We start from the raw sequence: 21,095 nt of genomic DNA on the forward strand, positions 1-21,095 counted from the left end.
ACATTTGTTCTGTTAATTAAAATAGCTGCATTGTAGGGAAGATTGTATAAGGACTAAAATAGGTATTAGACATAATAACTTAGTCCATAGAAAAATAGAACAATGTCTGGGAAAATATAGACAATAAATAGGCCCTCCCAACCCTAGAATTTAATAATGTTTTTTCTCATTTTGTTCTAACAAATGAGACTAGAATCTTTATGATACAAAATCATCCCAGTTCTATTTCTTTGGTTTTTACATTTGTTTTCTATTTATTGAACTCTATTTAATCATTTGTTATTTAACATCAAAGATAAACAACTTCTGCAGTTCTTTTAAGAGAAGAAACATTTTATAATGGGAATATGACTTATAACTCAGAACTTGGAGCAAGAACCAGAATGTATATCTTTATCCAAATCTGTTATTGGTTTATCAATTGACCTTGAGCTGTTCACCTTCTCTGTACCCCAGTTTACTTCTTTAGTGTATCTGATCAGGATATTGGGGATTAATGAACATTTGCAAATGCTTTAAGATCTCCAGATGAAAAGATGTTATCAAGATGAAAAATACCATTATCTTATTTATATTTTACTCTGTAGTAGGAATAATATTTTACCACAATGTACATGAAAAAATTAACAACATAATATTAAATACTTCATCCCTTTACTTCTAACATTATTGCAAAACCCACTGATTGTGTCTCATCTCCAGCTACCATAAAATGTCATATCTTATATAATTGCTAAAATAAGAGCTTATTATTTTTTAAAAGAATAGCAGAGTGTGGGAATGTTTTTGGTTTATCAGTAGTCTATATAAAATATTTGCTTAATCACTCATACCTGCTCCTTTTTTCTTGCTTTATTACATAATACTGTCAGCTATTCAGAATCATGCTGGATAATTCTAGTGCTGTTAATCGTTAAGCTACGGCTCTTTCTTCATCACTGTCACTTGGCCAGAGCCTAGCCTACTCACATTGGTCTCTGGTCTTACTTTCACCTGCTTCCTACATTCAATCATGGTCACACTTCCCTATCCTTTTCTTATTGGGCTGTCATTTTTGCTGATTTAACCCAGAAGGCAGTCTCTGTAATGCTGGGTTTATACTCAGTTGCTATTAAAGAAGCTTTGAGAAGTAACTTTTTATATTGAGACTATTTGAATACATGTTCATTCTGTCTACTAGATTGTGAGCTCTTTTAGTCTCATGTCTTCCTATATTTGCATCACTAGCACCTAACGATTACTGAATAATTGTTTGAATAGGACTGAACAGTTTCTGCAGACTTTCCCCCTCCAAAAAACAAAAAAAATCTATGAACAAGACTGAAAATTATTGTTAAAGGTATTCTAATTTTTGATTATAAAGTTTTATGAAATCAATTGGCATTTTATTAGTAAAGTTTCATTACCTCATTTATTTATGTACTATCATTTGCATAGCACAATGCAAAATTTAAAAGATACAATAGGATATTCAGTGAAAAGTTAACTCTCCCATTGCTGACCCCAGTTCCCAAAGGCAACCACTGTAAGCAGTTTCTTATGCATTCTTTTAGAGGCATTGTAGTTCATACACAAATGTATATAAGATGTCTTCTCTTTTCACTTTTTTAATTTCTATTTTGTAGATACAGGGTTTTGCCATGTTGCCCAGGTTGGTCTCAAACTCCTGGGCTCAAGCAGTCCCCCTGCCTAGGCCTCCCAAAGTGTTGGGATTACAGGCGTGAGCCACCACACCTGGCTAACATTAGTAGCTTTTAAAAAGAAAAGATGGCTAGGCACAGTGGCTCACACCTGTAATCCCAGCACTTTGGGAGGCTGAGGTGGGCTGATCCCTTGAGCCCAAGAGTTCAAGACCAGCCTGGGCAACATGACAAAACCCCATCTCTACAAAAAGGAAACAAGAAAAATTTAGCCAAGTGTTGTGGCAGATGCCTGAAGTTCTAGCTACTCAGGAGGCTGAGGTGAGAGGATCACTTGAGTCTGGGAGGCAGAGATTGCAGTTAAGCCGTGATCATACCATTGAACCCCAACCTGGGCAACAGAGCAAGACAGTGTCTCAAAAAAAAAAAAAAAAGACACAAATGTTGTAGGGCATAGTGGTTCACACTTGTATTCCCAGCTACCCAGCTACTTAGGAGGCTGAAGCAGGAGGATTGCTTGAGCCCAGGAGTTCGAGGCTGTGGTGATCATGCCACTGCACTCCTGCCCGTGTAACAGAGAGAGACCCCATCTCTTTAAATAAATAAATAAAAATAAGAAAATGCATTTGAAAGGACACTGTCAGTATATCATGCACATTCTTCTGTATCTTTATTCACTTGAAAAATTATTTTGTGGCTGGGTGCGGTGGCTCACGCCTGTAATCCCAGCACTTTGGGAGGCCGAGGCAGGCGGATCACAAGGTCAGGAGATCGAGACCATCTTGGCTAACACGGTGAAACCCCGTCTCTACTAAAAAATACAAAAAATTAGCCGGGTGCGGTGGCGGGCACCTGTAGTCCCAGCTACTCGGGAGGCTGAGGCAGGAGAATGGCGTGAACCTGGGAGGCGGAGCTTGCAGTGAGCCGAGATTGCGCCACTGCAATCCGGCCTGGGCTAAACAGCGGGACTCCGTCTCAAAAAAAAAAAGAAAAATTATTTTGTAAATTGTAACAAATGCATATAGACTTACCTTATTCCTTTTAATAGTTATGTAGTATTCCATTGTCTATATGCACCTTAGTTAACCAGTCCCATTTGAGAGAGATTTATTTCAACTGTTTTGCTGTTACAACCAGTTCTGTCTGCAATGAATATCCTTGTAGGTGGTTTTTGCCCAGATGTGTAAGTATAGAATAAGTTCTGGCTGGGCGCAGTGGCTCACACCTGTAATCCCAGCACTTTGGGAGGCTGAGGCGGGCAGATCACAAGGTCAAGAGATCGAGACCATCCTGGCCAAGATGGTGAAACCCCTTCTCTACTAAAAATACAAAAATTAGCTGGGCATGGTGGTGCGTGCCTGTAGTCCCAGCTACAGTGCCAGTCAGGAGGCTGAGGCAGGAGAATCACTTGAACCCAGCAGGTGGAGGTTGCAGTGAGCCAAAATCGTGCCACTGCACTCCAGCCTGATGAAAGCATAAGAATCCGTCTCAAAAAAAAAAAAGAATAAATTCTTAGATTTAGAATTGCCTAAAGATTATGTACATTTTTTTAATTTTGGTGGACATTGACAAATTTTTGCCCTTAGAGTTACACAAATGCATAGTCTTTACCAACAATATGTTTGTTTCCCAAGATATTAATTTTCAATCATTCATTTTATTAAGAGATACCAAATATTTTGTAATTAATTCTTCCAACTTTCCTTAAATATATAAATAGAAAACTGAGCTTGATTGTAGAAATTGGTTTATTCATATATCAAACCTTTATATAGTACCACTCTATTCCTGTATATTGTGTGATACAGATCAAGTGATGAGAACAGATATAATGATACAGTATTGGCGTGGTACAGTGACTCATACCTGTAATCCCAGCACTTTGGGAGATGGAGGAGGAAGGAAGATCACTTGAGCCTAGGTGTTCAAGGCTGCAGTGAGCTGTGACTGTGCCACTGCACTCCAGCCCGGATGACAGGGCGAGACTTCATCTCTAAAATATAATTAATTAATTAATTAACAAACAATGTTAACAGAATTTTAATAGAGATGTAAACTTAAGAGGAGGGAACTGCTCTGTGGAGATGAGGAAGCATCACAGAGATGGTAACATTTGAGCTAGATCTTCTAGGAAGAATAAGAATTTACTTCTAAAGAAGGGAGTTAATTAAGGACACCATAAAAGGAAGGAACAGCTTGTGCAAAAAAAAAAAAGATAAGAGAGAGTACCAAGACCCAGAATTGTCTGACATGCATGGAACAGTGAGTATATGTGGAGTATAGGGTATTTTGAGGAAGAAGGGGAAGTAGAAAACATGGAAATTGAGGCTACAACAGTGGGAAAGAATTCAAACTTTATCCTTTAGGTATTTAAGAGCCAATGGACATTATTATATACATCGTTTGTTCTTTGAACTGATTTCTAGGCACATAGGGGATGGATTGGAAAGAGGGAAGAAATTATGGCAAGGAAATGAATTTAAAGTAGTTGTGGTAGTTTAGATGAAAGATGATGAGAACCTGAAGTATATCTATGGCAGTGAGGGTTGAGAGAAGTAGATGGAATTGAGAGCTTGTATAATAGTAAAATCAAAAGGATTTGGTGAACATGGAGTGAGGAAGAGATAGTGTTATAAATGACTCCAAACTTAGGAAACCAGATGCCGCCATGATAAGATTAAAAAGAAAAATACAGGAAGAGGAACAGGTTTCAGTAAGCCAAGAATAGATTCTGTTTCATATACTTTAAGATTATTGTGTTTAGGAAACAGCCAGGTGGAGATATCCAGCATGTGATTGGAATATGACTCTGGGGCAGAAGAGAGATTTGGGCTAGAAATTTAAAAAAAAAAATGTGAGTCATCAATACTAAGAAGGTTCTTCAAGCTGTAGGCATAAGTGATGGTAGAACAGAAAAGGAGAATGCTGAGGACAGAACTGTAGTGAGTACCAGGGGTGTTTACGATGGGGCCTAGCAGGAAGGCCCCATAAAGTCTCTAAAATGAGTAAGAAGCTTTACATGCTTTGGGTCTTATTTTATTTAACAGTATCTAGAGTTTTTATTGATAGTTTTTTACTCACATTGAAGGATAGCTGAGCTACTCCTTCAGTTCAATTTCAGAAGACAAAATTTCCAATCTCGTATCTTTGAAATTTTCAATTTGTTCTACTCAGTCTAAAGTGTATGCTTAAAAATAGTGTAAAACATACTTGCTTGATTTGACTATTCCCTAGTGTGGCATGCACTGTAGGTTAGCTTGCACATCTCTTCTTTTCTTCCGTCTACTATAGACACTAGAAAATTAAATACTCTGAGTTCTTAGTTGTCTCTGCATATGGGAAGGGCTGTGTGACACAGTGCTACCAATGAGATGTCAGCAGTAGTTGTTGAGGGGTATTCTAGGAAGGCTTTTGCTATCCTGATATAAAGGGAAACTAGCATGCTTGCATGAGGATTTACCCTTCCTGCTCCATCTTGGTCTCGATCACTGGACCAAGGCACCCAAGGCTTATGCTCATTTTATCCAATAAGCCGTGATGAGATGTCTTGGGACTAAAACATTCACAACCAAGTTTCAAATAAAGAGGTTAATAGCTTGGCCTTCTGGTGTGGAATCAGGTGTGGAATATAGTGCCTATTGGGACCCCTTCTACTAAGTAGAAGTGACACTTTGAGATGTTATTTCTGTTTTGAGGGTTTATACACTCAAATCTCCAGCTGTCTCTATTCAAGTATATTTAGGACTATAAATGAGGGTCAGTGCAACTGAATCTTTTTTAAGGTCAAGTTGTTAATTTTCAAAGTAAAACAAAATTTTTGAAGTAGGAAAGGTGAAATGTTCATTTAGATAGCGTATTAGTCCATTTTGCATTGCAATAAAGAAGTACCTGAGACTTGGTAATTTATAAAGAAAAGAAGTTTATCTTGGCTTGTGGTTCTGCAAGCTTTTCAAGAAGCACTTGTCACACATGTCACCACACCTGGATAATTTTTAAATTTTTTCGTAGAGATGGAATCTCATTTTGTTGCCCAAGCTGGTCTCAAACTCCTGAGCTCAAACGATCCTCCTGCCTCAACCTGCCAAAGTGCTGGGATTACAGCTGTGAGCCACCATGCCCAGCTAGCTTTTACATTCTTAAATGGTTGAGGAAAAAAGGCAAAAGATGAATGATATTTCCTGAAGTGAAAATTATATGGATGGACACCAATGGCTGGGGGCACAGTGGCCTACACTTGTGATCCCAGCACTTTGGGAGGCTGAGGCAGGAGGATCACTTGAGGCCAGGAGTTCTAGACCAGCCTGGGAAACAGAGAGAGTCTTTGTCTCTACCAAAAAATTAAAATTAAGCCAGGCGTGGTAGCATGCACCTGAGAGCCTCCTCAGGAGGCTGAGGTGAGAGGATCGCTTCAACCAGGAGTTTGAGGCTGCAGTGAGCTGTGATCATACCACTGCACTTCATCCTCAGTGACAGAGCAATACCTTATTTCTAAAAAAAAGAAAAAAAGATTCTACTATACTGATGCAGTAATAAGAGCATTATTTTTTTTTGCTATGGTAATTTTTTTTTTTTTTTTGACATAGAGTTTCGCTTTTGTTTCCCAGGCTGGAGTAGTGCAGTGGCACAATCTTGGTTCACCGCAACCTCTGCCTCCCAGGTTCAAGCAATTCTCCTGCCTCAGCCTCCCAAGTAGCTGGGATTACAGGCATGCGCCACCACATCCAGCTAATTTTTGTATTTTTAGTAGAGATGGAGCCTCACCATGTTGGCCAGGCTGGTCTCAAACTTCTGACCTCAGGTGATCCAGCCACCTCTGCCTCCCAAAGTGCTGGGATTACAGGTGTGAGCCACCGCGCCTGGCACTATGGTATGTTTAAAAGAAAAACGGAGACATTAGCTTAGTTTACCCACATTGTACTTAGGTGAAATAAAAAATTGTTTATATCTCAGTTCAACAGTAGCATCTTTATGTATGTAACTAAGGTTGTGACAATAACACTTTACTTTCAGCATGCAGTGTCAGTATTCCAGGAATTTTTGGTCTTCTGTCTTTAATTGTTACTTTTTTAAAAAAGAAGCTTGATTGTACCACTGTTAATCATGTGATTTATTCTTTCAGCATCTACTGTGTACAAGGCACCATTTTAGCTCTGTGGTTAAAAGCATTCTTGATTGTTTATATGGATGGTAAAAATTATTCTTTAACTGCTCAGCTTTATGTTTTAGTCTTTAAAATTGCCAAGCGTAAACAGTGATGTTTTTACCAGATGTATAAGTGTTTTGGAAAAATTGGTTGTTGTTGGAGAAAAGAAGAACCATGTTTTTTATTTTTGTGCTATATCTTTGCAATGCACATGCAATTTCTTCTCCCTAGAATGTCCTTATAGATTTTTCTGTCCTTCTCAGGAGACTCCTTTTACACTTTAGTGTTTTATTATACTGTAGTTCCCGTCAGTGCTACAGCTTTGGAAGTAGCAGACTGATAGGGATGCTGTCCTTTGCAGGCTAGATATTAGACTCTCTCAGTAGTTGTAGATAATTAGCATCTGAGAGAGACTCACATGAGGCTGACCTAAAACTCAGTGATCAGAATGCTTGAGTCATCCCCCTTTTAAGTAGCATGGTACTTTTGGAAGAATTTTCCATCAGAGGACTGCTTAATGAGTTTAGAATCAGAAACAGAAATATAACGATCTGGAGCATGGATGTGAGATATTTCACTTAAGCTCTGGGAAAACCCAGTGTAATATTCCTACTTTACAACAACAACCTTTGTAGTAACCTGATAGGCTATACCTGTGAGATCCAGAATCTTTCTGAATGATGTTAAACATATACTTCATAGATTTTGCCTTTCTGAATGACTTTTAAGCTTTATTGAGGTATAATTGAGGTACATATTTTATGTATACATTTTGATGAGTTTGGGCATATGTATATACCCATGATATCACCGCAATCAAGGTTCTAAACATATGTATCACCTCCAAAAATTCTTTTATATATATATACACATACACATACATGATATATATGTTTTGGGGATTTTTTTTTTTTTTTTTAGAGATGGGGCCTCACTATGTTGCCTAGGCATGGCAAACTCCTGGGCTTAAGGGATCCCCCCGCCTCAACCTCCCAAAGTACTGGGATTACAGGCATGAGCCACTAGGCTCAGCCTCCTCCGAAAATTCTTATGTTTGAACCACATCTTTTGTCCTGGTTGCCCTCTTACTAGTTATTCATGTATCTCCTCCTCTAGAGATTGCTTCTTTATATTACTTAGAATTTTCCACAGTCTATAGCAAAATGCTTTGTGTACATTAAAAGCAATTAGTAAATATTTGTTAAAAGAATAATTATTTTAATTAAGAGGCATAGATTGTCTTTTCTCTGCATGTTTATATAATGTGATCATACAAAAATCCAAATATCTTATTTCTAATTATTTGTCAGTAATTTGTGACTTTTACCTAGTAATTTAGCACCTGAATTTCTACATATGAAATATGAATATAAGATACAAATTTTCAAGCCAGGCATGGTGACTCACACCTGTAGTCCCAGCTACTTAGGGGGCTGAGGTGGGAGGATCAGTTGAGCCTAGGAGGTCGAGGCTGTAGTAAGCCGTGATCAAACCGCTGTATTCCAGCCTGGGTGACAGAGCAAGACCCTGTCGCAAAGAAAAGATACAAATTTGTATCTTATATATTATCTGGAATGACTTTTTAAACATAATAAAAGTATTTTAGGTATTTTATAAGTACTTAAAGGTAATTCTGAAAATTTCTTAGACCATCCCCGTTAATTTCAGCTAGAAAAGTGATGATATAAGTTCACTTTGTTATGCTCATTCCCTTAAATATGAAATGCATTTTATAGGCTTCTTTTACCAAGTTATTTGACTCTTCTTCTTGATATTTCACTGGTGAAGTTTTTCATGATGACTGAATCTAAAAAAAAAAAAATCTGTATTTGGTGAGTTTCTTGGGCTTTTAAAAATAGTTGTACAGAAATTTGGATAATACATAAGAAAAAACAAAACAAAACCTCATTTTGAATTGCTAAATCATCCTAGAAACTCTTCCCTCTCCTTGCCTCCCAGCATTCACATGAATTACAGTTATTAAATATTCACAGTACCTCAGGAGATGCGTGGTTTACCCTAAAGCATCCAGAGGCCTGCTCTGCTACTGAAAGCTTCTTGATTTTGAGTAAGTCACGTAACCAAACTAGTTTCTTCATCTGTAAAAGGAGGGCATTATGCTAGATGATCCAGTGATCCATTCTATTCCATATCTAGATCTCCACACAAGCAAGAATGGGCTGTTTTCATATTTAAGGACTTGTGAAGAACACCAACTTGTAAAACTTATAGACACATACATATATACTGTGATCCTGTAAGGCAGTGTTCATCAAATTTGAGCAATTTACAGATACCCCACCACCTTTTTGTCCAGAACCCATTTTAGAGGAAAATAATTATTGCAGCTTCTAAAGAATATGTCCTTTAACACAAGTTTAGACAACACCTACTTAAATGTACAGGAAATGCCCAACTTACAGACTTCTACAGTTTATGTATACTAGCTCCAGCCATCATGCTTCTCTAAAGCCTCTGTTTAAAAACCAAAAACGAGGAGCCAAGATGGCCGAATAGGAACAGCTCCAGTCTACAGCTTCCAGCATGAGCGATGCAGAAGACGAATGATTTCTGCATTTCCAACTGAGGTACTGGGTTCATCTCACTGGGGATTGTCAGACAGTAGGTGCAGGACAGTGGGTGCAGCACACCGAGCGTGAGCCAAAGCAGGGCGAGGCATCACCTCACCCAGGAAGTGCAAGGGGTCAGGGAATTCCCTTTCCTAGCCAAGGAAAGAGGTGACAGATGGCACCTGGAAAATCGGGTCACTCCTACCTTAATACTGCGCTTTTCCAACAGTCTTAGCAAACGGCACGCCAGGAGATTATATCCCGCGCCTGGCTCAGAGGGTCCTACGCCCACAGAGCCTCACTCATTGCTAGCACAGCAGTCTGAGATCACACTGTAAAGCAGCAGCGAGGCTGGGGGAGGGGCACCCACCATTGTCCAGGCTTGAGTAGGTAAATAAAGCGGCTGGGAAGCTCGAACGTGGTGGAGCCCACTGCAGTTCAAGGAGGCCTGCCTGCCTCAGTAGACTCCACCTCTGGGGGCAGGGCATAGCCAAAAAAAAAAAGGCAGCAGAAACCTCTGCACACTTAAATGTCCCTGTCTGACAGCTTTGAAGAGAGTAGTGGTTCTCCCAGCACGCAGCTTGAGATCTGAAAACGGACAGACTGCCTCCTCAAGTGGGTCCCTGACCCCCAAGTAGCTTAACTGGGAGGCACCCCCCAGTAGGGGCAGACTGACACCTCCAACGGACGGGTACTCCTCTGAGGCAAAACTTCCAGAGGAACGATCAGGCAGCAACATTTGTTGTTCACCAATATCCGCTGTTCTGCAGCCTCCGCAGCTGATACCCTGGCAAACAGCCTCTGGAGTGGACCTCCAGCAAACTCCAACAGACCTGCAGCTGAGGGTCCTGAGTGTTAGAAGGAAAACTAACAAACAGAAAATACATCCACACCAAAACCCCATCTGTACGTCACCATCATCAAAGACCAAAGGTAGATAAAACCACAAAGATGGGGAAAAAACAGAGCAGAAAACTGAAAATTCTAAAAATCAGAGCACCTCTCCTCCTCCAAAGGAACACAGCTCCTCACCAGCAACGGAACAAAGCTGGACGGAGAATGACTTTGACGAGTTGAGAGAAGAAGGCTTCAGACTATCAAACTTCTCTGAGCTAAAGGAGGAAGTTCGAACCCATGGCAAAGAAGTTAAAAACCTTGAAAAAAGATTAGACGGATGGCTAACTACAATAACCACGCAGAGAAGTCCTTAAAGGACCTGATGGAGCTGAAAACCACCGCACGAGAACTACGTGACAAATGCAGAAGCCTCAGTAGCTGATTCAATCAACTAGAAGAAAGGGTATCAGTGATGGAAGATCAAATGAATGAAATGAAGCAAGAAGAGAAGTTTAGAGAAAAAAGAATGAAAAAAAAAAACGAGCAAAGCCTCCAAGAAATATCGGAGTATGTGAAAAGACCAAATCTACGTCTGATTGGTGTACCTGAAAGTGACGGGGAGAATGGAACCAAGTTGGAAAACACTCTGCAGGATATTATCCACGAGAACTTCCCCAATCGAGCAAGGCAGACCAACATTCAAATTCAGGAAATACAGAGAACGCCACAAAGATACTCCTTGAGAAGAGCAACTCCAAGACACATAATTGTCAGATTCACCAAGGTTGAAATGAAGGAAAAAATGTTAAGGGCAGCCAGAGAGAAAGGTCAGGTAACCCACAAAGGGAAGCCCATCAGACTAACAGCTGATCTCTCGGCAGAAACTCTACAAGCCAGAAGACAGTGGGGGCCAATATTCAACATTCTTAAAGAAAAGAATTTTCAACCCAGAATTTCATATCCAGCCAAACTAAGCTTCATAAGTGAAGGAGAAATAAGATCCTTTACAGACAAGCAAATGCTGAGAGATTTTGTCACCACCAGACCTGCCCGAAAAGAGCTCCTGAAGGAGGCACTAAACAGGGAAAGGAACAACCGGTACCAGCCACTGCAAAAACATGCCAAATTGTAAATACCATCAAGGCTAGGAAGAAACTGCATCAACTAACGAGCAAAATAACCAGCTAACATCATAATGACAGGATCAAATCCACACATAACAATATTAACCTTAAATATAAATGGACTACATGCTTCAATTAAAAGACACAGACTGGCAAATTGGATAAAGAGTCAAGACCTATCAGTGTGCTGTATTCAGGAAACCCATCTCACGTGCAGAGACACACATAGGTTCAAAATAAAGGGATGGAGGAAGATCTACCAAGCAAATGGAAAACAAAGGCAGGGGTTGCAATCCTAGTCTCTGATAAAACAGACTTTAAACCAACAAAGATCAAAAGAGACAAGGCCATTGCATAATGGTAAAGGGATCAATTCAACAAGAAGAGCTAACTATCCTAAATATATATGCACCCAATACAGGAGCATCCAGATTCATAAAGCAAGTCCTTAGAGACCTAGAAAGAGACTTAGACTCCCACACAATAATAATGGGAGACTTTAACACCCCACTGTCAACATTAGACAGATCAACGAGACAGAAAGTTAACAAGGATATCCAGGATTTGAACTCAGCTCTGCACCAAGTGGACCTAATAGACATCTACATAACTCTCCACCCCAAATCAACAGAATGTACATTCTTTTCAGCACCACACCACACCCATTCCAAAACTGACCACATAGTTGGAAGTAAAGCTCTCCTCAGCAAATGTAAAAGAACAGAAATTATAACAAACTGTCTCTCAGACCACAGTGCAATCAAACTAGAACTCAGGATTAAGAAACTCAACTCAAAACTGCTCAACTACATGGAAACTGAATAACCTGCTCCTGAATGACTACTGAGCATAACGAAATGTAGGCAGAAATAAAGATGTTCTTTGAAACCAACGAGAACAAAGACACAACATACCAGAATCTCTGGGACACATTCAAAGCAGTGTGTAGAGGGAAATTTATAGCACTAAATGCCCAGAAGAGAAAGCAGGAAAGACTAACATCACAATTAAAAGAACTAGAGAAGCAAGAGCAAACACATTCAAAAGCTAGCAGAAGGCAAGAAATAACTAAGATCAGAGCAGAACTGAAGGAAATAGAGATGCAAAAACCCCTTCAAAAAATCAATGAATCCAGGAGCTGGTTTTTTGAAAAGATCAACAAAATTGATAGACCGCTAGCAAGACTAATAAAGAAGAAAAGAGAAGAATCAAATAGACGCAATAAAAAATGATAAAGGGGATATCACCACCGATCCCACAGAAATACAAACTACCATCAGAGAATACTATAAACACCTCTGTGCAAATAAACTAGAAAATCTAGAAATGGATAAATTCCTGGACACATACACCCTCCCTAGACTAAACCAGGAAGAAGTTGAATCTCTGAATAGACCAATAACAGGCTCTGAAATTGAGGCAATAATTAATAGCTTACCAACCAAAAAAAGTCCAGGACCAGATGGATTCACAGCCGAATTCTACCAGAGGTACAAGGAGGAGCTGGTTCCGTTCCTTCTGAAACTATTCCAATCAATAGAAAAAGAAGGAATCCTCCCTAACTCATTTCACGAGGCCAGCATCATCCTGATACCAAAGCTTGGCAGAGACACAACCAAAAAAGAGAATTTTAGACCAATATCCCTGATGAACATCAAAGCAAAACTTCTCAATAAAATACTGGCAAACCGAATCCAGCAGCACATCAAGAAGCTTATCCACCATGATCAAGTGGGCTTCATGCCTGGGATGCAAGGCTGGTTCAACATACACAAATCAATAAACATAATCAGTTACATAAACAGAACCAACGACAAAAACCACATGATTATCTCAATAGATGCAGAAAAGGCCTGTGACAAAATTCAACAACCTTCATGCTAAAAACTCTCAATAAATTAGGTATTGATGGGACGTATCTCAAAATAATAAGATCTATGACAAACCCACAGCCAATATCATACTGAATGGGCAAAAACTGGAAGCACTCCCTTTGAAAACTGGCACAAGACAGGGATGCCCTCTCTCACCACTCCTATTCAACATAGTGTTGGAAGTTCTGGCCAAGACAATCAGGCAGGAGAAGGAAATAAAGAATATTCAGTTAGGAAAAGAGGAAGTCAAATTGTCCCTGTTTGCACATGACATGATTGTATGTCTAGAAAACCCCATCATCTCAGCCCCAAATCTCCTTAAGCTGATAAGCAACTTCAGCAAAGTCTCAGGATACAAAATCAGTGTGCAAAAATCACAAGGATTCTTATACACCAATAACAGACAAACAGAGAGCCAAATCATGAGTGAACTCCCATTCACAATTGCTACAAAGAGAATAAAATACCTAGGAATCCAACTTACAAGGGATGTGAAGGATCTCTTCAAGGAGAACTACAAACCACTGCTCAATGAAATAAAAGAGGACACAAACAAATGGAAGAACATTCCATGCTCATGGGTAGGAAGAATCAATATCATGAAAATGGCCATACTGCCCAAGGTAATTTATAGATTCAGTGCCATCCCCATCAAGCTACCAATGACTTTCTTCACAGAATTGGAAAAAACTACTTTAAAGTTCATATGGAACCAAAAAAGAGCCCGCATTGCCAAGTCAATCCTAAGCCAAAAGAACAAAGCTGGAGGCATCATGCTACCTGACTTCAAACTATACTACAAGGCTACAGTAACCAAAACAGCATGGTACTGGTACCAAAACAGAGATGTAGACCAATGGAACAGAACAGAGCCCTCAGAAATAATGCCACATATCTACAACTATCTGATCTTTGACAAACCTGAGAAAAACAAGCAATGGGGAAAGGATTCCCTATTTAATAAATGGTGCTGGGAAAACTGGCTAGCTGTATGTAGAAACCTGAAACTGGATCCCTTCATTACACCTTATACAAAAATTAATTCAAGATGGATTAAAGACTTAAATATTTGACCTAAAACCATAAAAACCCTAGAAGAAAACCTAGGCAATACCATTCAGGACATAGGCATGGGCAAGGACTTCATGTCTAAAACACCAACAGCAATGGCAGCAAAAGCCAAAATTGACAAATGGGATCTAATTAAACTAAAGAGCTTCTGCACAGCAAAAGAAACTACCATCAGAGTAAACAGGCAACCTACAGAATGGGAGAAAATTTTTGCAATCTACTCATCTGACAAAGGGCTAATATCCAGAATCTACAATGAACTCGAACAAATTTACAAGAAAAAAACAACCCCATCAAAAAGTGGGCAGAGGATATGAACAGACACTTCTCAAAAGAAGACATTTATGCAGCCAAAAGACACATGAAAAAATGCTCATCATCACTGGCCATCAGAGAAATGCAAATCAAAACCACAGTGAGATATCATCTCACACCAGTTAGAATGGCAATCATTAAAAAGTCAGGAAACAACAGGTGCTGGAGAGGATGTGGAGAAATAGAAACACTTTTACACTGTTGGTAGGACTGTAAACTAGTTCAACCATTGTGGAAGTCAGTGTGGCAATTCCTCAGGGATCTAGAACTAGAAATACCATTTGACCCAGCCATCCCAATACTGGGTATATACCCAAAGGATTATAAATCATGCTGCTATAAAGACACATGCACACGTATGTTCATTGTGGCACTATTCACAATAGCAAAGACTTGGAACCAACCCAAATGTCCAACAGTGATAGCCTGAATTAAGGAAATGTGGCACATATACACCATGGAATACTATGCAGCCATAAAAAATGATGATTTCATGTCCTTTGTATGGACATGGATGAAGCTGGAAACCATCATTCTCAGTAAACTATCACAAGGACAAAAAACCAAACACCACATGTTCTCACTTATAGGTGGGAATTGAACAATGAGAATACATGAATACAGGAAGGGGAACATCACACACCAGGGCCTGTTGTGTTGGGGGAGGGGGGAGGGATAGCATTAGGAGATATACCTAATGTTAAATGATGAGTTAATGGGTGCAGCACACCAACATGGCACATGTATACATATGTAACAAACCTGCACGTTGTGCACATGTACCCTAAAACTTAAAGTATAATTAAAAAAACATTTAAAAAATTAAAAATATAATAAAAATAAAAACCAATAACGGCTGGGCACAGTGGCTCATACCTGTAATCCCAGCACTTTGGGAGGCTGAGGCAGGCGGATCACGAGGTCAGGAGATCAAGACCATCCTGGCTAACTCGGTGAAACCCCGTCTCTACTAAAAATACGAAAAATTAGCCAGACATGGTGGCACATGCCTGTAGTCCCAGCTACTTGGGAGGCTGAGGCAGGAGAATCACTTGAACCCAGGAGGCGGAAGTTGCAGTGAGCCGAGATTGCGCCACTGCAGCCCAGCCTCCGTGACAGAGCCAGACTCTGTCTCAAAAAAAAAAAAAACCAGTGTGATGGCATGTGCCTTTAATCCCAGCTACTCAGGAGGACTGCTTGAGCCTAGGAGTTCAAGACCAGCGTGGGCAACTTAGTGAGACCCTCATCTCAAAAATTAAAAAAAATCAATAAGTAAAAAAACCCAGCAACAACAAATGGTAGAATAATCTGAAAAAGAGAGAGATTCTTTTCCTTCTCCCTTCTTGTACCTATTGTTCCTTTTGTCTTGGGATTTCAAAACTCAGGCCAGTGGCATTTAAGCTTTTTTGATATAACCTGCAGTTTACGAGGGGAAGCAGTGATGCGTATCTATACAAATTTGTGTGTGTACATACACACAATTGAACATGCTTAACTAAATGAAATGTATGCTGTTACTTTCTATTTCATTTTTTAATGCTTCTTATGAGGCACTGAATTTTACAACTAAACCTAGTCCCCATTTACAGCACTCTTACCATAGAAAAATGCAAACCTCCAAATAAACTTTTAGATTCAACTTTTAAATACTACTTATTTATAAATTGAAGAATGTCTGTTTATGAACTTATTCACTTATTTTATAATCATACCGAAACCTCAGTGATTCAGACCAATTTGACAGGAGCAATTCAACATATGTAGTACTTTTAAATGAAGCTTATCATATTTAATATCTCTAGATATGAAATTAGACCCAAATTAATCTAACAAAATCTTGACCTGGAGGCTCTTTGGAGTCCTGCTAAATCATCATTTAGCTTGCCATTTTCTTTACTATTTTAATTTTAATAAACTTTGAAGAAAAGATTTCTATATAAAGATAAACTTCAATCCAGACTTTTTTTTTTTTTTTTTTTTGAGACAGAGTCTCTGTCACCCAGACTGGAGTGCAGTGATGCAATCTCGGCTTACTGCAGCCTCTGCCTCCAGGGTTCAAGTGATTCTCATGCTTCAGCCACCCAAGCAGCTGGGATTACAGGCATGTGCCACCACACACGGCTAATTTTTCTGTAATTTTAGTAGAGACAGGGTTTTGCCACATTCACCAGGCTGGTTTCGAACTCCTGGCCTCAAGTGATAAGCTTACCTCAGTCTCCCAGGGATTACAGACATGAGCCACCACACCAGGCCGTCAGTCCAAACTTTTTATATTGTCTTTAATTTGAAATTTAACTATTAATTGAAGCGTGTTAACTTGGGCTTAATTTTTAAAATGGATAAGCATAACCACCTGATCTAAAAGTTTTATTGCTATAGTAGCTCAATTTAAATGGTTTATGTAGACCAGGCATGTTGGCTTATGCCTACAATCCCAGCACTTTGGGAGGTGGAGGCAACAGGATCACTTGAGCCCAAGAGTTTGAGACCAATCTGGGCAACACAGTGAGACATCATCTCTACAAAAAATTTAAAAAAAAAATCACCAAGCTAATTACATTTCCTTATCGCTTGAATTACAAACATTTAAGGGGAGAAAAGAGCTTATAATAATACTGCCATCTTCTCTCTCTCCCCCATCATTCCTATAGGTGTACCAACATTCGACCAGGAGAGACTGGAATGGATGTAACAAGCCGCTGCACCCTTGGAGACCCCAACAAACTGCCAGAAGGGGTTCCCCAACCTGCCCGCATGCCCTATATCTCAGACAAGCACCCTCGACAAACCTTGGAAGTGATTAACCTTCTGAGAAAGCACCGGGAGCTATGTGATGTGGTGCTAGTTGTGGGCGCCAAGAAGATATATGCCCATCGAGTCATTTTGTCAGCCTGTAGTCCCTACTTCCGAGCTATGTTTACAGGAGAATTGGCAGAGAGCCGTCAGACAGAAGTAGTGATCCGAGACATTGACGAGAGGGCTATGGAATTACTGATTGACTTTGCGTATACCTCCCAGATAACAGTAGAAGAGGGCAATGTTCAGACTCTTCTGCCAGCTGCTTGCCTCCTCCAGCTGGCAGAAATACAGGAAGCCTGCTGTGAATTCTTAAAGAGACAATTAGATCCTTCTAACTGCCTGGGCATTCGGGCTTTTGCTGACACACATTCATGTCGTGAGTTGCTAAGGATAGCAGACAAGTTCACCCAACATAACTTTCAAGAGGTGAGTTGCACTTGGTGTTCCAATGCACCCATTTGTTGGAGAGCAATATGGGTTCACATTCTGCTAAATAACACTTGCCTGGGTATTTCCTGCTGATTCTAACTCATAATAGCAAATAAATAAGTTATTATAAATCCTAAACCTGGCTTTTATTTTAGAGGGCAATTTTGTGTTCTACCAGCAAGTTAAGATTTAGGGATTTATTCTCCCTAACTGTATTCATAAAAGTATTTAAAAAAAAATTTTTAAAAAGGTTTATTTATAAGCCAAAATAGAGTAATTCACAAGAGGATCTATGCCTGATAGGATACCTGGTATCATGATTTATATAAGATATTTCCTTCCTGATTATGTGGATTATTCAGAATAAATTATAGATTATAGGTTGTTTGGTAAACTAATAATCTGAAAAGATGAGTTTAGATGTTATCAAAATAATTTTCATTAAACCTATCTTTCCCTTATTTATTTAACAAATATTTGTAAAGCTACTATGTTTCAGCCACTGTGCTTGGGAGCATAGGGTACAATAGTGAACAAGAAATCTAGAGTCTCTGTATTCATGGAGTTTATAATCTAGCAGGGAAGATAATCATTAAATGCTTAATTATACAAATAATTAACTACAGTTAATGGGTGTTACAAAGAAGCAGTCCTGGATGATTTAAGAGTGTATTACAGAGAAATTTAACTTTGGTGCTGGAACAACTTGTGCAAAATCCCAAGACATTAAAAAGCATCACTAGTTTGAAGACCTGAAAAAAACCCAGTGAGACCCAGAGACCAAGGGGGGTAGAGGATGTTACATAGTGATTACACAGAAAGAAGAGGGCTAAATCACACTGAGGTTGATAGACTATGTTAAGAATTTGAGATTGGCCTGGTGCAGTGGCACATGCCTGTGATCCCAGCACTTTGGGAGGCTGAGGCGGGCAGATTGCATGAGCTCAGGAGTTCAACACTAGCCTGGGCAACATGGCGAAACCCTGTCTCTACAAAAAATACAAAAATTAGTCGGGCATGGTGGCGTGCACCCTTAGTCCCAGCTACTTAGGAGGCTGAGGTGGGAGGATGGCTTGAGCCCAGGAGGTAGAGGTTGCAGTGAGCCAAGATCGTGCCACTGCACTCCAGCCTGGGTGAGAGAGCCAGACCAGACCCTATCTCAAAAAAAAAAAAAAAGAATTTGAGATTGATCCTAAGAGTGCTAGAAAACCATTAAAGGGTTTTAAGCAAAGACAAAACATGGTCTGTTTTACAACTTTTTAAAAAATCATATTTTTATTTATTTTGCAGTAAAGTGGTCAGCTCAGGACCATAGTTTTTTTCCCCCTAATAGTTTTTGGAGAACAGGTGGTGTTTGATTATATGAATAAGTTCTTCATTGATGATTTCTGAGATTTTGGTGCATCCACCACCCGAGCAGTGTACACCGTACCCAATGTGTAGTCTTTTATCTCTCACCCACCTCCCACACTTCCCCCTGAATCCCCAAAGTCCATTGTGTCATTCTTACGACTTTGCATCCTCATAGCTTAGCTCCCACTTATAAGTGAGAACATATCATTTTTGGTTTTCCATTCCTGAGTTACATCACTTAGAATAATGGTCTCCAACCAACTCCATCCAGATTGCTGCAAATGCCATTCTATCTTTTTTTTTTTTTTTTTTTTTTGAGATGGAGTCTCACTTGCTCTGTTGCCCACGCTGGAGTGCAACGGGGCTCAATCTCAGCTCACTGCAACTTCTGCCTCCTGGGTTCAAGTGATTCTCCTGCCTCAGCCTCCCAAGTAGCTGGGACTATAGGTACATGCCACCATGTCCAGCTAATTTTTGTATTTTTATTAGAGATGGGGTTTCACCATGTTGGCCAGGCTGGTCTCAAATTCCTGACCTCAAGTGATCTGTGATCTGCTTGCCTCAGCCTACCAAAGTGCTGGGATTACAGGCGTGAGTCACTGTTCCTGGCCAATATATTGTTCCTTTTTATGGCTGAGTAGTATTCTGTGGTATATATACATACCACATTTTCTTTATCCACTTGTTGATTGATGGGCATTTGGGCTGGTTCCGTATTTTTGCAGTTGTGAATTGTGCTGCTATAAACATGCACATGCAAGTGTCTTTTTCATATAATGACTTCTTTTCCTCTGGGCAGTAACCAGTAGTGGGATTGCTGGAACAAATGGTAGATATACTTTTGGTTCTTTAAGAAATCTCCATATACTGTTTTCCATAGTGGTTGCACTAGTCCACATTCCCACCAGCAATGTAAAAGTGTTCCCTTTTCACCACATCCATGCCAACATCTTTTTTTTTTTTTTAATTTTGAAACAGAGTCTCACTGTGTTGCCCAGGCTGGAGTGCAGTGGCATGATCTCGGCTCACTGCAACCTCCGCCTCCCGGGTTCAAGCGATTCTCCCACCTCAGCCTCCCGAGTAGCTGGGATTACAGGGATTTGCCACCACACCAAGCTAATTTTTGTATTTTTAGTAGAGATGGGGTTTCACCATGTTGGCCAGGCTGGTCTCAAACTCCTGACCTCAGGTGATCTGCCCGCCTTGGCCTCCCAAAGTGCTGGGATTACAGGCATGAGCCACCGCACCCGGCCTATGTTTTTATTTTTTAAATTATGGCCATTCTTGCAGGAGTAAAGTGGTATCACATTGTGGTTTTGATTTGCTGATCATTAGTGATGTTGAGCATTTTTTCATATGTTTGTTGGCCATTTGTATATCTTCTTTTGAGAATTGTCTATTGGTCTTTAGCCCACTTTTTGATGGAATTATTTGTTTTTTTCCTTGGTGATTTGTTTGAATTCCTTGTAGATTCTGGATATTAGTCTGTGGTTGGATCTGTAGTTTGCAAACATTCTCTCCCACTCCGTGGGTTGTCTATTTACTCTGCTGATTATTTCTTTTGCTGTGCAGAAGCTTTTTAGTTTAAGTTCCATCTATTTATCTTTGTTTTTGTTGCATTTGCTTTTGGTTCTTGATCATGAACTCTTTGCCTGAGCCAATGTCTAGAAGGGTTTCTCCAATGTTATCTTCTAGAATTTTTATGGTTTCATGTCTTAGATTTAAGTCTTTGATCCATCTTGAGTTGGTTTTTGTATAAGGTGAGAGATGAAGATTCAGTTTCATTCTTCTACATGTGGCTTGCCAATTATCCCAGCACTGTTTGCTGAATAGGGTGTCCTTTCCCCACATTATGTTTTTGTTTGCTTTGTCAAAGATCAGTTGGCTTTAACTATTTGGCTTTATTTCTGGGTTCTCTATTCTTTCCATTGGTCTATGTA

General features: G+C 39.7%; 1 protein-coding gene across 8 annotated transcripts in view; it reads left to right on the forward strand.

Moving 5' to 3' along the window:
* Window positions 1–21,095, forward strand: part of KLHL20 (kelch like family member 20) — a 71,712-nt gene that overhangs the window by 1,507 nt on the left and 49,110 nt on the right. For 6 of the 8 annotated variants that reach the window (XM_017001052.2, XM_017001053.2, XM_005245093.5 and 3 more), the window contains one exon: window positions 17,226–17,799. The exons of the other annotated variants lie outside the window; for them this stretch is intronic. In XM_017001052.2, coding sequence (XP_016856541.1) covers window positions 17,226–17,799 — 574 coding nt within the window. The remainder of the gene's footprint in view (window positions 1–17,225; window positions 17,800–21,095) is intronic. 8 annotated transcript variants of the gene reach the window in all.

This window comes from Homo sapiens, chromosome 1 (genome assembly GCF_000001405.40).
Source record: "Homo sapiens chromosome 1, GRCh38.p14 Primary Assembly".
Classification (NCBI taxonomy): Eukaryota; Metazoa; Chordata; class Mammalia; order Primates; family Hominidae; genus Homo; species Homo sapiens.